General features: G+C 45.8%; 1 protein-coding gene across 14 annotated transcripts in view; it reads right to left on the bottom strand.

Moving 5' to 3' along the window:
* The window catches only part of VWA3A (von Willebrand factor A domain containing 3A), a 64,424-nt gene that overhangs the window by 38,261 nt on the left and 5,831 nt on the right, over positions 1–20,332 (bottom strand). For 11 of the 14 annotated variants that reach the window (XR_007064857.1, XR_007064856.1, XR_007064855.1 and 8 more), the window contains exons 4-12: positions 18,386–18,510; positions 18,211–18,288; positions 15,175–15,229; positions 10,124–10,177; positions 9,124–9,222; positions 7,710–7,816; positions 3,232–3,357; positions 1,837–1,945; positions 1,528–1,593 (exon numbers count right to left, since the gene is read on the bottom strand). Coding sequence is in view for 11 of the 14 variants with exons in the window: in XM_011545742.4 (XP_011544044.1) it covers positions 1,528–1,593; positions 1,837–1,945; positions 3,232–3,357; positions 7,710–7,816; positions 9,124–9,222; positions 10,124–10,177; positions 15,175–15,229; positions 18,211–18,288; positions 18,386–18,510 (819 nt within the window). In the remaining 3 variants the exon portion in view is untranslated. The remainder of the gene's footprint in view (positions 1–1,527; positions 1,594–1,836; positions 1,946–3,231; positions 3,358–7,709; positions 7,817–9,123; positions 9,223–10,123; positions 10,178–15,174; positions 15,230–18,210; positions 18,289–18,385; positions 18,511–20,332) is intronic. The other 3 variants (XM_047433627.1, XM_047433631.1, NM_173615.5) reach the window with 1 other exon arrangement.

The following is a 20,332-nucleotide window of genomic DNA, read 5'->3' as shown; positions in this document are numbered from 1 at the left end:
TTTGTTTGTTTGTTTGTTTTGATGGAGTCTCGCTCTGTCACCCAGGCTGGAGTGCAGTGGCACAATATCGGCTCACGGCAAGCTCCGCCTCCTGGGTTCACGCCATTCTCCTGCCTCAGCCTCCCCAGTAGCTGGGACTACAGGCGCCCGCCACCACGCCCGGCTAATTTTTTGTTATTTTTAGTAGAGACGGGGTTTCACCGTGTTAGCCAGGATGGTCTCAATCTCCTGACCTTGTGATCTGCCCGCCTCGGCCTCCCAAAGTGCTGGGATTACAGGTGTGAGCCACTGCACCCATCCTGACCTGCTGTGTTTTAAAACAATTGAAGAGTTTTCTAACTGTAAAAGTGTAAAGAAACACTTTACACGCACTAGGATGGCTATAATAATAATAATAATTTATTTATTTTGTTATTATTTTTAGAGAAAGGGTCTTGCTCTGTCACTCAGGCTAGAGTGCAGTGGTGCAATCATTGGTCACTGCAGCCTCAAACTCCTGAGCTCAAGTGATCCTCCTGTGTCAGCCTCCTGAGTAGCTGTGACTATAGCCATGTGCTACCACACCAGACTAATTTTTAAATTTTTTGTAGAGATGGGCTGTCACTATATTGCCTAGGCTAGTCTCAAACTCGTGGCCTCAAATGATCTTCCTGTCTCGGCCTTCCAAAGCACTAGGATTACAGGCATGAGCCACCATGCCTGGTCAAGCCACAGGTTTTAAGATAAAATATTTCTTAAACCAGTCAGTTTCAGTCATTTACTTTACCTTTCTAACCTCTGTAGTCTGAGTCACCTGCAGAGAGAGTCTAGATGATGAGGTATCAAGATAGAGTGCTGCCTGAGCTTGGCTCCCTGCTATGAAAAGCAGGGACCTTGTGACCTTTGAATTCACTTGTGAGATGCAAACACTCATTTACTCATGGTTATTAATGGTAGGCAAGACACAGCCTGGGAGCAACCAGATGATTGCATTCTTAATCTTCCAAATGGATCTACACACATGTTTGCTAATCGTTGCCTCCCTTGTGAACACAGGGTGGCTGATGTCTAGTTATTAACTGGGACAAGGACAGTAATGGATGGATCGGTACAGAATGGATTGCTCATTTCGCTCTGCAGTGGGTTCCCTGCAGTAGCAGGAGTTGATCTAGGAGAGAAAATCGAGGCAATTCAGACTTAGTGCTTTGGTGGGAGCAGAGCTAGGCTGGGGCCTATATTAACGGCAACTGGAGTGAGACTGAGGATTCTGCAGGCAGGGCTTTAAAAGGCCTCTGGGCTCCCACGCATTCAATCAATGCATCATACAGGCTGATCAAAGCATCTCTTGTGACTTCAGGTTGTCCCTGGTCTTCCCACATATTCATTCTAACCTGATTTTACCTGTGTAACCTCATTGAATACAGGTGGGGACAAGGAGAAAAGGAGAAACAAGTATATAGTATGGTCCTGGCCCAGATCTCCTGGGTACAACCTTGGAGGCAGACAAGGAGAGAAGAAGAGGGGCCATGTGTTGACAGAAGGGCTTACCTCCATCTTTGGGCTGTAGCAGTGGTAGTAGCCCCTAACAGCTTCTGCAAGGTTCTTCAGGACAGCCTGCAGGGATGAGGCCAGGGTCAGGCCTCACTAGGGCAACACCAATACTCCAGTAAGCCTTCTCCTTGACTGAACCTCCCAATTATCCAAAGCTTCCCATTTTACCAAAGGGAGAACCAGGCACAGGGACAGGTGCATTCTGGTCCACAGCTCGGGGGCCTGTCCAAGCATGAGGCCTCAAAGGCCAGCCCAGCTCACTACCACCAAAGCCAAGGGGCACCTCAGAGAATCTCGGGCACTCACAGGGGGCATCTGATCATCGCATCTGTAGGTGATGAAGTGGATGATGAGGTCTCTTCCCATGGTGGACTGCTGGATGTAGTCAGACAGGATTTCAGAAGGCTGATCTGGGCTGTGGAGAAGGCAGAAGAGAAGTGGAAATCCCAGGTCAGACCACTTTGAGAACATTCCAGAGCAAAACGGTAATTCCCAAGGAACATCTACCCATTCTTAACTGGCCACCTGTGTCACAGGTCACCTATGTGGCATGCAGGGCTAGGTGGACTGCAGGCCTGTCTGCCCTCTGCCTCCTCTGCAGATGGGTGGGTGGCCTGTGACTGTAGTCCTTCCCTCGTGTGTGTGTGAAGAGTCATTGTTGATGATCTTTTCTCTCTTTCCTTCTCTTTCTTTTCTTTCTCTCTCTTCCTTCTTTCCTTCCTTCTCCTCTCTCTCTCTTCCTCTCTCTTTCCTTTTTCCTTTGTTTTTCTCTCTCTTCCTTCTTTCCTTCCTCTTTTTTCTCTCTTCCTTCTTTCCTTCCTTTTCTTTTTTCTTTCTCTCTCTTCCATCTTTCCTTCCTTTCTCTTTTTTCTCTCTTCCTTCTTTCCTTCCTTCTTCTTTTCTTTTTCTTTCTCTCTCTTCCATCTTTCCTTCTTTCCTTTCTCTTTCCTTCCTTCTCTTCCTTCTTTCCTTTCTCTTTTCTTTCCTTCTTTCATTCTTTGTTTCTTTCTTTCTTCCTTTTTATTTCTCTCTCCTTTCTTTCCTTCCTTTCTTTTTTTCTTGTTTCTTTCTTTCTTTCTCTCTTTCTTTCTGCCTGTGACTGCCATCCCTCCCTCATGTATGTGTGAAGAGCCATGGTTGATGATCTTTTCTCTTTCTTCTTTCTTATCTCTCTCTCTCTCTCCTCTCTCTCTCTCTCTCTCCCTCCCTCCCTCCCTCCCCACCCCCTCCTCCCTTCCTTTCCTTTCCTTTCCTTCCTTCCTTCCTTCCTTCCTTCCTTCCTTCCTTCCTTCCTTCCTTCCTTCCTTCCTTCCTTCCTTCCTTCCTTCCTTCCTTCCTTCCCTGGGTCTCACTCTGTTGCCCAGGTTACAGGGCAGTGGAACAATCATAGCTTACTGCAGCCTTAAACTCCTGGGCTTAATCAATCCTCCTGCCTCAGCCTCCCAAGTAGCTGGGACTACAGGTGCACACAACCATGACCAGCTAATTTTTGTCTTTTTTTTTTTTAAGAGATAGGGTCTCACTGTGTTGCCCAGACTGGTCACAAACTCCTGGCTTCGAGCAATCCTCCTGTCTCGGCCTCCCAAAGTGCTGGGATTACAGGCATGAGCCACTGTGACAAGCCAATCTTTTCTCAAAAAGTGGTTTGGTTTTTCAGTCCTTTTCATGTAGTATGTCACCTGCTTAGGAAAGAAGACCTACCAGCTTCTCATGATGGCCACCAGGGAATCCAGTCCCTTGAGAGTGAAGATCTTCTTCAGAGCTTGTAGCAGGTTGCTGCCTCCATCAGGCTGCAGCGTCTTTACCCAGAGCTTAAGTTCCTGGAGGCTGGGAGGAGACAACAACAGCAACCTAATTATAAGACTGTTTGTATTGAATTTCATTTTAATTTCTTTTTAGAGATAAGGGCTTGCTGTGTTACCCAGGCTGAAGTGCAGTGGTGCAATCATAGCTCACTGTAACCTCGAACTCCTGGGCCCAAGCGATCCTGCTGCCTCAGCCTCCCACGTAGCTGAGACTGCAGGTATGTGGCATCCTGCCCGGCTAATTTTTATATTTTCTGTAGAGGGCCGGGCATGGTGGTTCATGCCTGTAATCCCAGCACTTTTGGGGGCCGAGGTGGGTGGATCACTTGAGGTCAGGAATTCAAGACCAGCCTGGCCAAAATGGTGAACCCCATCTCTACTAAAAATACAAAAAAATTAGCCAGGTATGGTGGTACATGCCTGTAATCCCAGCTACTTGGGAGGCTGAGCAGGAGAACTGCTTGAACTCCAGAGGCGGAAGGTTGCAGTGAGCTGAGATTGTGCCACTGCCACTGCACTCCAGCCTGGGCAACAGAGTGAGACTCTATCTCAAAAAAAAAAAAAAAAATAGAGAGATAGGGGTCTCACTGTGTTGCCCAGGTTGGTCTTGAACTCTTGGCCTCAAGAGGTCCCCCTCCCTAGCCTCCCAGACAGCTGGGATTACAGGTGTGAGCCCCTGCAGCTGGCCTGTAGTATTAGGTACCAGGCCCAGGACAAATATTAGCTCATTTAAACCTAATGATAACTTGTTGAGGTGGTACCTTTATTCCCATTTTGTAGATGAGGAAACTGAGTTAGGACTTGCCCAGGGTGATACTGTAAGCAACTGTTAAAACTGAGATTTCAAACCAGGTCTGACTCTAAGATCTGAGCTTTTAGAAATTGTGCTATGTGAGGGTCTGGGGCTGAGTTCCTTCTTACCCATACCCACTCTCTTGGGAGCCAGCCCTCAACAGGAGGCATGGAGTTAATTCCGCGACCCTAAGAAGGCTCTAAGAGAAAGCTTTATGGCTGTGTGGCTATGTCCCACATGGGTTGGGGTACACACAACTGGTGAGAAGAAAAATAACTTGATTCTTTCTTGGCTAAAATTTTGCATAGCACTAGTGAAAGAGGTCTGTTCTTTCTACTTCAAAAAATCAAAAATCTGAAAGAGAAAATCTCAGTGTGGTGCTAATAAGTTCATCTTTCATGATCATAACTGTCAAGTCTCCCTTTTGAACAGCGAGAATAAGTCCCAGGTCTAGCACCTTCTCTAGCCAATAGATTTAAGCTGGAATTTAAAACCACTGTTTTGCTCTCATCGTATTTATTTATATGGCTGCTTTCTTTTTTTTTTTTCTCAAAGCCATTAAAGAAAGATATATGGTTGCTTTCTAATTATAGAAATATAATTGCATGATTATAGAAGTATAATCATGCAAGTGATATGAGCTTCTCAGTTATGGTATTGATAGAAAGTTTCCTTCAGGCCAGGAGCAGTGGCTCATGCCGGCAATCCCAGCACTTTGGGAGGCTGAGGCGGGAGGACCACTTGAGGCCAGGAATTCAAAACCAGTCTGGTCAACATAGCCAGACCCCATCTCCACAAAAAAGGAAAAATTAAAAAAATCAGCTGGGCACACCCTTGTAGTCCCTGCTACTGGGGAGGCTGAGGCTGGAGGATCATTTGAGCTCAGGAGATTAAGATGGCAGTAAGCTATGATTGTACCACTGAACTCCGGCCTGGGTGACAGAGCAAGACCTTGTCTCAAAAAAACAAAAAACAACAAACAAACAAAAAAGTTTCTTTCAATAATAAATAGAATTGAAGTAAAGAAAAATCAACAATAGTACACATGGTAGGCTGGGCACAGTGGCTCATGCCTGTAATCCCAGCACTTTGGGAGGCCAAGGAGGGCGGATCACTTGAGGTCAGGAGTCCAAGACCAGCCTGGTCAACATGGTGAAACCTTGTCTCTACTAAAAATACAAAAAAAAAAAAAAAAAAAAAAAAAAAAAAAAAGAAAATTAGCCAGGCATTGTGGAGCACACCTGTAATCTCAGCTATTTGGGAGGCTGAGGCAGGAGGATTGCTTGAACCCAGGAAGCAGATGTTGTGGTGAGCCAAGATCACACCACTGCACTCCAGCCTGGGTGACAGAGTAAGACTCCATCTCAAAAACAAACAAACAAAAAGACAAAAAAACCAAATAAATAAAAAATAAAATAAACAATAGTACACATGGTAAAGATATGACATAGGGTTATGACAAGAGAATTCCAGGAGTTCCTGAAGATGCAGAACTTTTGGCTGCCATCCATAACAACCCAGGTGTCACTGCTCCACCTAAAGTGGAAATCAGAGTAAAAAACGTTCTTGTTCATTGAGTACCTGGCACTAGCCAGGTACTTTGTTTTCATTTCATCTTCATAACAGTCCTGTGAAGAGTGGGTAGGATTGGCCTTGTTCTGCAAATGAGAGAGTTATAAGGGACTTGTCAAGACCACCCAGTAGTGACTGTTGGGGTTGGGATTCAAAGCCAGAGCTGCCAGAAGTGGGCATTTCTCTATCTGGAAGGGCCCCTCTTTACAGCTAGTGCTGGTGAGGGGGCCTCCGTCCTAGAAATCTAAGCACATGCTTTTTTTTTTAACTTTTTACTTTTGGAGACAGGGTCTCTCTCTGTCACCCAGGCTGAAGTACAGTAGCACAACCATAGCTCACTGCAGCCTTGACCTCCCTCTCAGGTTCAATCAAACCTCCCACCTTAGCCTCCCGAGTAGCTGGGACTATAGGCACATGCCATCACACTGGGCTAATTTTTAAATTTTTTGTAGAGATGGGGTCTCACTGGGTTGCCCAGGCTGGTCTCAAACTTCTGGGCTCAAGCGATCCTCCCACCTTGGCCTCCCGAAGTCCTGGGATTACAGGCATGAGCAACTGGCCCTGGCCAAAGCATGTGCCTTTTCCTGGGATCTGGAATCCCATCGTGGCTCTACCACTTTGGGCATCTTCCCTAACCTGAGTCTGCATTTCCTCATCAGCAAAATGAGGATAATAATCCTATTCCATGAGGTGGCTATTATATACTAAATACAATCATCTATGCAAAGTACCTAGTATGGTAACCAATACATGGTGGGCAATCGAGGACATTCCCTTCACGGAAAATAAATTTCTACTCACTGGATAAGTAGAAATTCTTACATACCTCCCTCCTGTCCCTCAAAAAAACCCCAGGCTAGAAACCCCCAGCTAAAAGACATCCCTGCAGTAGAATTCTATGTAGCCATTAAAACAAATGAGGTAGATTTGTATGCACTGACAGAGAAAGAAATTCAAGACCAGCTAGAAAGCCAAGGTACAGAGCAGTGTTATGTAGGTCCTATTTATGTGAAAATTAGAAGGTAAACACACAGATGCATGTGTGTGCAAAGATTATTTGTGGAAGTGGATATAAGGAACTGTTTTGGGCCAGGCACAGTGTCTCATACCCGTAGTCCCAGCACTTTGGGAGGCCAAGACTGGAAGAGCACTTGAGGCCAGAAGGTCAGGACCAGCCTGGACAACATAGCGAGATCCCATCTTTACAAAAATAAACAAACTGACTGGGTGTGGTGGCTCGTGCCTGTAATCCCAACACTTTGGGAGGCTGAGGTGGGTGGATCACTTGAGGTCAGGAGTTCGAGACCAGCTTGGCCAACATGGTGAAACCCTGTCTCTACCAAAAAATACAAAAATTAGCTGGGCGTGGTAGTGCATGCCTATAATCTCAGCTACTCAGGAGGCTGAGGCATGAGAATCACCTGAACCCGTGGGGTGGAGGTTGCATTGAGCCGAGATCATACCACTGTACTCCAGCCTAGGCAACAGAGACCCTGTCTAAATAAATAAATAAAAACTTAGCAGGGTGTGGTGGCACATGCCTGTAGCCCCAACTACTCAGGAGGCTGAGGTGGGAGGATTGCTTAAGCCCAGGATGTCAAAGCTGCAATGAGCTATGATTGTGCCACTGCACTCTAAGCTGGGAGACACAATGAGATCCTGTCTTGAAAAAAAAAAGAGGGAGACTCATTTGCTATTATTTATCATCCTTTCATACTGTTGGAATTTTTAAAAAACATGCATGTGTTATTTTCACAATAATAAAACTATCTTTGCTACTTTGCTGGATAAAAATAGTGTCTTGTGGTCACCTTATCTGTCAGTTTATGAACCGCTCACGAGGGTAGACATCTTTCCAAAAATTGTTTCTGCTTTTGTGAGTTGTCTCTTTGTACTCACTTATCTAGTAGGGTCCTGGGGTTTGCAGTTGAATTATTCAATAAAGACTCTGCTGGTTAGGGAGGAAAATGAACAAGTGAACATCACCGTCAGGTAGGAAAGCCACTCACGTGGAGGCGCTGACTTCCATGGGGTCTGGCCAGAGGGACCCGGCATTGGTGCCAAAGGACAGGACAAACAGCTTCTCCTTGTGGCTCAGCTGCTCATCGATGAGGCTCTGTTGGACAAAAGGACATCACTGGCTCCCACAGCCAGGGGAATCGGGAGCCTGGCTTTGCCTCTCTGGCCTTTGCTGGCCCCTCTGGGCTGGGTGTGAGCTGTACTGAATAGGGCTGCTCGAGGCTGGGCTTAGCAGCCAGCCCCAAGCCGACATTTGCTTCCTGCCTGCCGGGCCTCCTGTGGGTGGGATGAGCATCTGGGCTGCCATCTCAGAATGTGCTATTGCTGGACCCTTGGCACTTACCTGTGGCACCCAGAGAGGGAGGACAGAGGTTTCTCTCTAAGGCATGTGAGCTGGAGAGTATCCATAACTTCTCCCTCTTCTTCCTGGCCAGCTAGAAATTCCACCTGTATGCCACCCCCATGAGCTCTGCCCTGGCTAATAGTAGACCACTCCACCTGGGGGATCTTTGGAAACTCCGTCCTGAGGACTTGTCATGAAGGGGGAGCCTGCTCTGACACCTGTCCCCTGACATCCACTGAGACCAGGAACAGGGGACAAGTCTGGAGGACAGCCCCACACTGAGCCTCATAACGGCTCTGCAGGACCTGTACAAAATACAACTGGCTATTGCTGCCATGGTACCCGTAAGAAAATAGCCTGTCCACATCACATCACGCTGCAGAGGCTTTTTCTCTAGGCCAGACTTCTCACTAAGCACTTCACTTGCACAAGCTCCTTTTACCCTTATGGCAACCCTAGGTAGCCACTTAGGGTTATCATCCCCATTTTACAGAGGAGGTAAGTAAGGCACAGAGAGATTAGTTAACGCAGTCACATGGCCTGGAATTGGTGGAGGTGGCTGGGATTTGACTCCAGCCATCTGACTCTAGTTCTTAGCTTCTCTGCTATGGATGTGAGTTGGGGATGGAGCAATGAGCAACACCAGCCTGTTCACTTCTCTCAAACTAGAGCTGGTGAGTATCCAATGGGAACCATAACTCCAAAGAAACCAGAATAGCTCTTCCATCCAGAAAAGGCCAGAAGCCCTGTGCTATGCTATGCAGGAGACTTCACATCTTCCTTCCAGGGAAACGTGGGAGCTCTTGAGTCAAAGACTAGTTGGCAGGTACTGTCGTGGTGAGAATACTGGAAGTTCACACTACAACTGAAAATGACTCTGTGGTTGGGTTTTGTAGAATTCAACATAGTTCTCTAACCACAGGTGCTAATTAAGTGTGAACTGTTCTTTATAAGACACCCTATCTTGCATTTGCTATAAACAAGCTCGTCAGCAAGCTCAGGAAGGAAAGGCTGGGGGTAGTGGGTGGTTCCAGGTGTTTCTCTGTGCCAGACAGACTTACCATGAGGTCCTTTTGGAACTCTTCTTTCTGAGGGCCACTGCTGATGGCTGACACATCTATGAGGATGCTGACTCTGGCCCCTTTGATGAGGCCAAATGCCTAAAACCAAAGAGGGCATTTGGAAACAGCCAGTGCAAGTCTGTGTGTCTCCTACACTGAGCTGCTCTGTGCCACGCAGTGATGCAAACACTTTCCTCACCCCTAACAAGCAGCAGCAGATGGAAACCTCATTTTATAAGGGAAAAGCAAAACCCAATGTCATGACTTCAGCTCTGGGCATGATCTGCTCTTATTTTGTGGCAGCCTCTTCTTTATAAGTTTTTTCCCCTTATATTTATTGTCTAATCTTATGAAGTAATACATGGTCATTGTAGAAAATCTGGAGACTATAGAAAAGCACCCTTTGTTTGAAGATATAAAATTTGATGGCTATTTATATTAGCTTATCTGATTTAATTTCTCTATATCCTTATTTATTTTTTGCCTACTCTATCAATCAAAGACAGATGTGTTAGGTTCGCCAGCTGCAATGGTATCTCTGAGTTGCTAATTATGTTTCTTGTTTCTTCTTTTTGAGATGGCATATTGCTATATTGTCCAGGTTGATCTCGAACTCCTGGGCTCAAGCAACCATGTGCCACCACATCCAAATTTCTAATTATGTTTCTAAACGGTATTACTCTACAGTTATTACTCCTTGACTTATGATGGGGCCACGTCCTGATAAACCCATCATAAGTGGAAAAATCCTAAGTTGAACCATTCTAAGTCAAGGACTGTCTGTATTACTTGTCAATGCTGTTTGACTCTGCACATAAATGTTCATCTTGTTATAGCTGCATTGTGGATTGGAACTTTCATTCACATGAAATTGATAGTTCTCTAGGGGCAGTAGGTTCCATTCGGTGTTTTTCCTTAAATCCTACTTTACTGGATATCTAATTTTCCTGTTGAATTCACTCTTCTGCTCTCAGAGAGTATTTTACATCTCCTCTCACACCTCCAGCACTCCCTTTCTGTACTCTCCCAGCAAGTGATTTTGCCTCCAATTTTGCTGAGAAAACAAAAACAAATTGGAGAGAATTAAAAAAAATCTTTCCATGCAGAGTCTACTGACCTACCAGCCCATAGCCCTACATACTTCACCTTTTTCCAGTTAAAATGCATCTAAGGCCAACCAGCAATGGTCTAGGCTAACATTTGACTTGCATTACTGGATCTTCTCTTGCTAAATAGGAACTCTGCTTCTGTAATCATCCCTTCTCCTGGATCATCCATTCCTATTGATTGTACAATTTCCATCACCATACAAACAGGTTATAATATTGCCCATCTTAAAAAAGATATAGATCTCTCAGTATGCTACCTCTTCCTCCTGCTGTTTAATTTTTCTGCTCTCCATCTTAGCCACACATCCTTACCTCCCGGGGACCCATTCAAGTTAGGTTCTCACCTTCCTATTCCTCTGAAACCACACATGTCAAGGTGATCAATGACCTTTGTCTTGCCAAGCCCAAGGGTTAAATCCAAATTCTTGACTTTCCCGAACTCTGAGTAGCATATAGCACAGTTTGACTGTGTCAAGAATTTAACAAATTAAAACACTTAGTACACATGTCTTCCAGGACACTATATTCTCCCACTTTCCCCTCTCTTCACTGGCCATATTTTCTTAATTTCCTTTCCTAGAGAGCCCCTCCTCCTTGTTCCAAAGTCACAATACTGGCGTGCCCTAGGAACTTGCTTCTGAAGGTGTGGGTCATGGGCTGACAGCATCACCATCCCCCAGCTTGTTAGAAATGCAGAGTCTCAGGTCCCACTCCAGGCTTACCTAATTAGAGTCTTTATTTTAACAAGAGCTTCCATGTGCACAGTGGCACAATCATAGCTCACTGCAGCCTGGAACTCCTGGGCTCAAGTGATCCTCCTGCCTCAATCTCCTAAGTAGCTGGGACTATAGGTGTGTGCCACCACACCTGGCTATTTTTTTTTAAAATTTTTTGTAGAGATAGGGTCTTACTGCATTGCCCAGGCTGGTCTTGAACTCCTGGCCTCAAGAGATCCTTCAGCCTCAGCCTCCCAAAGTGCTGAGATTGCAGCCATGAGCCATCGTGCCTGGCCACTCTCTTCTTTATCTACCCCAGGGTTTGCCAACTTTGGCACTATTGACATTTGGCACTATTGGCATTTGGCACTATTGACATTTGGGCTGGATAATTATCTGTTGTAGGGAGCTGTCCTGTGCATTTCAGGATGGTGAGCAGCATCCCTGGCTGCTGATAAACTAGATGTAGGTAACAACCCCTCTCCTTCAGCAATGACAACCTAAAATGTCTCCAGACATTGCTAAATGTTCCCGTGGGGCAAAATCACCCCTGGTGGAGAACCACTGTTCTTTGATCACTCTCTAAGTGATCTGAGTGTCATGACTTTGAATACCATCTGAATGCTAAATGATTATCTGAGGTCCATCTTCAAACAGATTTCTCTTGGAACTTCAGACCTGTGCACCCAACATCCTGCTCCGCTTCTCTGTCTGGATGTCTGCTAAGTCCCTCAGGCCTCACATGTCCAAAACAAGACCTCTCAGTTTTCTTCAAGACTGTTTCTCCCTCAGCCTTCCCCATCTTAGTAAATGCCATTCAACACTGGCCCAGGCACTCTGGCCCCAGACCTATCCAATCCATCAGCAAGTTCTGCTGGTCCTACCTTCCAGCCATGCATTGAATCTACCATATCTCATTCTGTCGACCCTAGAGCTTGAGTCCAAGCCTCCATCGTTCTCGCCCAGAGCGGTTGTCCTGTTTCCACTTTTACCCCCTGTGCAGTCAAGTTATGCAGCAGCCAGCGTGATTCTTTTGAAACTTGTTGGATCAGGTCACTCCCCTGCTTTATTAAAGCCCTCAGCTTTGGAATCAGGCCCTCCCGGACTTCAACCTGCTCATCTAAGCTCATCTCCTTTCTCCACATAGCTCACTCTGTGCTTGCTGCACTGGCCCATGTGCTGCTTCTGGAACATACCAAGCTCGTTCCTGCCTCAAGACTTTTGGACTTGCTGTCTCCTCTGCTTGGAACATTCTCCCCAAGATATTGGTAGGGCTTACCCCCACACTTTCTTTAGGTGCCTGTTCAAATGCCTCCTCTTCAGAGTGAGTATCTTCAACCATTCCATTTATTTATTTTTTATTTTATTTTTGAGAGGGAGTCTCACTCTGTCTCCCAGACTGGAGTGCAGTGGCACGATCTCGGCTCACTGCAACCTCTGCCTCCTGGGTTCAAGCAATTCTTCTGCTTCAGCCTCTCTAGTAGCTGGGATTACAGGCGCCCATCACCACGCCTGGCTAATTTTTGTGTTTTTAGTAGAGACGGGGTTTCAGCATTTTGGCCAGGCTGGTCTCAAACTACTGACCTCAAGTGATCCATCTGCCTCGGCCTCCCAAAGTGCTGGGATTACAGGTGTGCACCACCACGCCCGGCCTCAACCATTCCATTTAAATAGTCCTGTTCCACCCTCTGTTCCCTTACTCAGCTTTGTTTCTTTTTACAGCACGTAAGCTCCATGAAGGCAGGACCTTAGTATTGGTCATGTTTTTTCCCCCGACAGCGAACCATTCCTTCAGCAAGTACTGGTCATGTTGGTAGTCTCAATCCTAGAACAGTGCCTGATATACAATAATCACTCAATACATGTTTGTTGAATTCATGACCCAAATATTCTAGGGTATTGCCAATCTGGAGGCAAGAAGTTGAAATCTAGAGCCAGTTCTATTTTTTTAAATTAAAAACAAGCTGCCATGAGGGCTTTACAGCTTTTGGAATTGAAAACATTCATTCCCTAAACCTAGCCATTGAAGTTCTAGACATTTATTCCATAGAAATAACTGGACAAGTACATAAGAGGCAATTGGAGCCTGGTAATACCAGATATTCTCATTTTTCAAGAGAAGTCTGATAGCAGACATAAAAGTGAAATACCAGGATTTAAAAAATCTTGGCAACTAATTTGAAAAATAGTTAAAATTAGGGAGCCTAAACAGAATGGCTGTGGGCCAGATTTGGCCTGCATGCCACTAGTTTATAACTTCTCCTTTTATCCTCTGCAGACACAGATCCAGAGAAGCGAGGCCACTTTCTAGGGCCTTAGTGACAGAGCAGAACAGGAACAGGGACCAGCGATTATCTGGCCATCACCTCAGGCTGCCTGCCTCAACACCCAGGGACCTGGTAAGCTGATTTACAGGTGATCGTTTCCCTGGGCTCTTCCATGGTTTCTCTGTAGCTCCGTCAGAAAGGGGTGGCAGGATGAAGGGGCTATCAATCCCCGCCCACTTTGACAAAGGTGCGAGGATGGGGTAGTGGAGGTCGGGGGGTGAGAGCAGCATGCCCTACGTGGATGCCTATGGAGTATGGGAGGATTTCATTCCCGTGGGGTCTCTCTGCCTGTTACCATGGGCAACCAGAGGGGTCCAGCTATAGCTGCAGACAAGCATCTGTTGACTCAACTCGTCCAAGCAAGTGAAGGAGGTTCTGGATCTGAGGTGAAGACCACAGCCTGGAATTGGCGGGACAGGCAGGCTTAGCACTATGTTGTTACCCACTAGTCTTGGGTAGAGGTGGGGATTGGGAGTAGGGAGCATGACTTTTAGCATCTGCATCTGGGTAGAGGTGGGGACTGGGAGTAGGGAGCATGACTTTTAGCATCTGCTTTTCCCAGGGTTTAAGGCAAGAGCTGAAGATTGTGCCTAAGGTGGAAGCAAACGGGAAGCCAGAAAAGTGCCAGTTGATGGCAATTAAGCTAAAACAAACAAGAAAGCAAATCAAAGTGTTCATTTGCCCATGGTCACTCTTCTACCCTTGGGTTCTGAGAAAAACATTTAATTAAAAAAAATTTTTTTTTTTTAAAAGACAAGTCTTGCTCTGTTGCCCAGGCTGGAGTGCAGTGGCAAAATCATAGCTCACTGCAGCCTTGAGGCTCCTGGGCTCAAGAAATCCTTCTGCCTCAGCCTCTCAAGTAGCTGGGACTACAGGTGTGCACCACTATGCCTAGCCCTTAATCAAACTTTTGTGGGTTTTCTTTTCGTTTGTTTGTTTTGAGAGGGAGTCTCACTGTGTCTCCCAGGCTAGAGTGCAATGGCGTGATCTCGGCTCACTGCAAACTCCACCTCCTGAGTTCAAGCGATTTTCCTGCCTCAGCCTCCTGCATAGCTGGGATTGCAGGCTTGCACGACCACGCCCAGGTAATTTTTTGTATTTTTAGTAGAGATGAGGTTTCACCATGTTGGCCAGGCTGCTCTTGAACTCCCAACCTCAGGTGATCCACCTACCTAGGCCTCTCAATGTGCTGGGATTACAGGCCTGAGCCACCATGCCCAGCCCTTAATCAAACTTTTAAGAAAAGTGATATCCAGATGATCAGCCTTAGTCTTCTAAATCTCATTGCGGGTCTAAAGTCAAATGCCCAGTGCACATCTGCATTCTCACCTGCCCAGCACCCATTCCCCCTTCTGGTAACAGTGCTCTGGCCTTCCACATGCAACCATCTGTCTCTCTTTTTCAGTCCATGAGGGCTGGGGGGCTAATCCAGTCTCTTTCCCCTTCCCCCCTGTCTTTTATTTTATTTTATTTTTGCCCCAGAAGTCAGCACTAGTTCCAGGCCTAGTCAAATAGTGATAGTATATTTCATCTCCTTGGCTATGATGATTGGTGTAAATTGGTCAATGAGAGTCAGTCCCAGGATTTGGAAGTTGTGCAGGGAACAGGAAGTGAAGTTCCTTTTTACTGGAGCTGCTGATCACCACCTTCCTATGCCTGAAGAGAGATGTCCTGAGAATAAAACCAACTCAGGAAAGCAGAGCCCACAGGCATAGAGGTGACATCATCTGAGCACCTGGATCCAGCTGTGGCTGGGGTTTTCATTTACTTAGGTTAGTAAATGCCTTTTTTTAGCTTAAGCAATTTATATTGGAGGTCTACATTTGCAACTGAAAGGGTTCTAACAAATACAAATGGAATGAGTGAAAGGGGGCAAAGAATGAAATCTATGCCCGTTACCTTCTTGCTGTTTTCTGTGAGCCACTGAATTCTCTCTTGATAGACTTCAATAGTGCTGTCAAGACATCAGAAAGACTCATCACCCAAGGCCAGCGTCATCACTGAGCAACAGCCACTTACATACACAAAAGGCAGGTATGAATAATTGTTTTTTTTTTTAATGTGCATAGGTTCTTGGAAGAAGGTGGTGAACCTTTTAGGTGCACTGTAGTGCACGCCTGTAGTCGTGGCTACTCAGGAGCCTGACGTGGGAGGATCACTTGAGGCCAGGAGTTCAAGACCAGCTTAAGCAACCTAGTGAAACCCTGTCTCTACAAAAAATAAAAAAATTTGCTGGGTATGGTGGTGCATGCCTGTAGTCCCAGCTACTCAGGAGGCTGAGGTGGGAGGATCACTTGAGCCCAGGAGTTCAAGGCTGCATGGAGTTATGATTGTTCCACTGCACTCAAGCCTGGGCACAATCGAGGAAAGACAAAACTGAAGATACTTGTTTGCCAGGGCACTAGGTATAAGGAGATTGTGAAAGGGATCGAGTGTATAGGTGCTGCTCTATTGGTGACACAGTGCACAGGATAAATGACAACGGTTTGGTGGATCAAGGGGTGGAATCAGGCCCTCCCAGACTTCAACCTGCTCATGTAACCTCGTCTCCTTTCTCCACATAGCTCACTCACTCTGTGCTCACTCTGCCCGGTGAGGGCAGGTCTGTGGAGGGTGGGGGAGGGTGTTCTTACGAGAAAGTTGGAAGACCACCCTTGCACTTGCTCAAATCTGTGTCTTCTCAGAAGGAATTGTTCCTAGTCTCCTGGAAACTGATCATAAAGGCACAACAGAGGCAGTTAAGCAATCGTTTCTACTGGATTGATTAACAAAAAACCTAGTTTCTGAAAAGTAGCTGGGGGACCTTCTTGAACTTGCCTTATTGCATGCCTGGCTTGCAATGACTGGTTGAAGACTAGCATATATCATATGCACAAGGTAAGGACTAGGTCACTTTAATTTAATTGACTTGTTCTTACTGGGGGCAGGTGAGATTTGGGGGCCTAGAGAGGGACAAAAAAGGTCTTTGGAAATGAGATCATGGGGCAGTGGGTGGTAGATAGAGTCATAAGGGATACATGAGTTATGAATAGAGCTAAGAAGATGAGCTTTATTTTTATCTTCTTCTTCTTTTTATTTGAGACAGGGTCTCACTCTGTTGCCCAGGCTGGAGTGCAGTGGTACGATCATGGCTCACTGCAGCTTCAACCTCCCTTGGCTCAGGTGATCCTCTCACCTCAGCCTTTAAGTAGCTGGAACTATAGATGCACACCACCACACCTGGCTAATTTTTATATTTTTTGTAGAGTTGGGGTTTCATCATTTTTCCCAGGCTGGTCTTGAACTCCTGAACTCAAGCGATCCTCCTGCCTTGACCTCCCAAAGTGATTACAGGTGTGAGCCACTTGTGCCCAGCTGAAGATGAGCTTTATAATAAAATATGTTTGTGTTTGAGATACAGCTCTGCCATCTACTAGCTGTGTGACCTTGGACAGGTGTGGTAACCTTTCTGAGCCCCAGTTTCACCATCTCCAACATGAAGGTAACAACAGGATTCTATCCAAGTCAATTTGCTAAAAGTCAATTTACTGAAAGCCAGTCCTCTGAAAATCAATTTGCCAAATGACCAGTTAGCTAAATAGACTTGAACATTCCTTAAAATACTGGATTCACAATTAAAACTGATAAACCAAGACATTGCAGAATTCTTTAAAACCTGTTTAAGCTTCCAACCTAATAAAAGTTACTATAAATTCTACAGTTAAATGGTTTTGAGAAATTTGAGCAACTGGTCATTCCATGAATGGCCATTCAGCAATTGACTTTTGGTTAACTGGCTTGAGAGTGATGGTTTTATAAGGGGAAACCCCTTTCTCTTGATTCTCATTCTCTCTTTCCTGGCTGCCTTGTAAGATGTCCCTTTGCTCTTCCTTCATCTTCTGCCATGAATGTGAGGCCTCCCCAGCCATGTGGAACTGTGAGTCCATTAAACCTCTTTCTTCTGTAAATTGCCCAGTCTCGGGTATGTCTTTATCAGCAGCATGAAAATGGACTAATACACATGTGCTATCAAAATCTGGTTTAGGAGTGGGGATGCATGCATGTTTTTGGCATATATTTGCAAAGTTATGAACGCAATCAATTTGACATTGAAAGTCATTACTCTTAACCATTAAACACCAGATGAAGCTGTGTCATCCAAGGGACTATGGATTTCATTTTATATTTTTTTAGAGATAGGGTCTTATTTTGTTGCCCAGGCTAGAGTGCAGTGGTGTGATCATAGCTCACTGCAGCCTCGAACTTCTGGGCTCAAGTGATCCTCCCACCTTGGTCTCTCAAAGCGCTAGGATTATAGGCATGGACCACCATGCCTGGCCCTAGACTATGGATTTGAAAAGGCTGAGAGACACTGATCTGGTCCAACCTTTCTATTTGAGAAAAGGGGAAATTGGGGCTAGAAGTGGGAAGAGACATGCTCATCTCCCTGAGTGGTAGTTTTTCCTTTTTTTTTTTTTTTTTTTTGAGACAGGGTCCCACTCTATTGCCCAAGGTCCCACAGAGATTGCTGTTTGAACAAAGTTACTTCCAGGCTACTGAAATGACATAATTCTTTCTTTTTCTTTTTCCTTTCTTTTTTTTTTTTTTGAGACAGAGTTATGCTCTTGTTGCCCAGGCTGGAGTGCAATGGTGTGTTCTTAGCTCACTGGAACCTCCACCTCCCGAGTTCAAGCGATTCTCCTGCCTCAGACTACAGGGTAGCTGGGATACAGGCATGCACCACCAGGACTGGCTAATTTTTTAAAAAAATATTTTTAGTAGAGACAGGATTTCACCATGTTGGCCAGCCTGGTTTCAAACTCTTGACCTCAAGTGATCCACCTGCCTCGGCCTCCCAAAGTACTGGGATTACAGGTATAAGCCACCATGCCCGGACTGAAATGACATAATTCTTGAGTTCTGTGGTGTTGGGAGGACAGTGAGAAACATACTTACTCAGAAAGCTTTGACTCAAAATGGCGGATGATCTGGGTGGAGAAACATATTTTCTGCACGACATTGGTGCCCTCCTCCCTGAAGAAGCAAAGCCTTATGAGGGGATCTCTCGGGCCCAGGGGGTTGCATGTGTCACTGCAGCTGTGGGGGGTGCGGGGAACAGCTTCAGACTTACAGCACTTCTGTGCCCTGGCTTATCAGGTCAGCCAAGGTGAGTTTCTGACATTTTAAACTGTGAGCCGAAAGCCAGTCTTCAGAGTCCTCCCAATCTGAAGACTGGGTCTCACTCCCCTGCAGCCTCTGCAAGACAAAAGCCAGAGTCAAACCGTGAAGTGGAAAGAGAGGGAAGGAAGAGGTTCCCTTCACACAGATACCCAACGGGCGCCAACTCAGACTGACCCTATCTTTTTTTTTTTTTGAGACGGAGTTTCGCTCTTGTCACCAAGGCTAGAGTGCAGTGGAATGATCTTGGCTCACTGCAACCTCTGCCTCCCAGGTTCAAGTGATTCTCCTGCCTCTGCCTCCCGAGTAGCTGGGATTACAGGCATGCACCACCACGCTTGGCTAATTTTTGTATTTTTAGTAGAGACAGGGTTTTGGCATTTTGGCCAGGCTGGTCTCAAACTCCTGACCTCAAGTGATCCACCAGCCTTGGCCTCCCAAAGTGCTGGGATTACAGGCATGGGCTGCTGTACCCAGCCCCCTGGTTTGTCCGTGTTAGAGACAGGGCCTCACTCTGTCACCCAGGCTGGAGTGCAGCGGTGTGATCATAGCTCACTGCAGCTTCGAAGTTCTGGGCTCAAGCGACCTTGACTTAAGTTCTGTGCCTGAGGCCTGCTGGGCTGTCTGTCTCAAAGGGAAATTAGCAAGTGTTGAAGAAGTGTGAAAAACACTCTCATAATTACTGCAAATACTTAGATAGCACTTATTACATGTTAAGCACTTTCCGTACGTTAACTCATTTAATTTTACAAAGTGGGTTCCATTATGATAACCCCATCTTGCTGACCAGGGAACTGAGGTACAGATAATTTAGGTAATCAGTCCAAGGTCATCCAGCTAGAAAGTGGCAGATGTGGAATTCAAACCCAGGCTGTAAAGCTCAAGTCATGCTTCTAACCATGGCACTATGTTGTCCCTCTAAACTAGCACCAAACTGTGACCACCTCCATGAAGGAGTGAGAGGACTGACGGGCAAGATTACTTTCTCATTATGTGATTCTGTGCTAACAAATGTCCTGCCCTTGAAAGGCACCTAAAATCATAGGTCCCTGTCGCATATCTAGGGAAATACAGCTCTCTATCACATGGACACTAGATGTCACTCTTCTCACCTTTCAGACTCAACCCTCCCCCTGGTTGGAAACACCGAGCATGGTACTTTTTTTTTTTTCTTTTGAGACAGGGTCTCATTTTATTGCCCATGCTGGAGTGCAGTGCCACAATCTCAGCTTACTGCAGCCTCAGCTTCCCAGGCTCAAGTGATCCTCCTTCCTAGACCTCCCAATTAGCTGGGACTATAGGCACGTGCCACCACACCTCACTAATTTGTGTATTTTTTTTTTTTTTTTTTTTTTTTTTTGTGGAAACAGGGTTTCACCATGTTGCCCAGGCTGGCCTCAAACTTCGGGACTCAAGCGATCCTCTCATCTAGGCCTCCCAAAGTGCTGAGATTACAGATGTGAACGACCGTGCCTGGTGAGCATGGTGGACTTAATAATTCACCTTTCTTCCATCTGTGTTGCTTTTCAAATGATGTCATGTTTTAGGACACAGATTTTGTATTATTCATACTTGAAGATACACTATTAAACACATTATGGATTTTGACTTTAGGCCATGCTAATTATGTAACTCTACTAGTTCATTTGCATAGAGAATGGTAAGATCTTCGTGTTGGAGCAATCCTTTCCCTCTTTCCTTCAGGTTCATCTGCAAGGCAAAGGAGGCCCCAGCTGTGGCTGATAAATATAAGAATGATCCTGTCTACACCTGGGAAGTCATGCATTTTCATATAAAATTAGAGGAAAGATGCATGTCATCAACATCTGAACCCATTACAAGACTTCTTCAGAATCTCAAAACTCTATCAACCTTTCCTCGTCTCCTTTAATTAAGCTTG

This window comes from Homo sapiens, chromosome 16 (genome assembly GCF_000001405.40).
Source record: "Homo sapiens chromosome 16, GRCh38.p14 Primary Assembly".
Lineage (NCBI taxonomy): Eukaryota > Metazoa > Chordata > Mammalia > Primates > Hominidae > Homo > Homo sapiens.
Note: the sequence above shows the minus strand (reverse complement) of the source record. Positions and strands in the feature narration are given on the sequence as shown.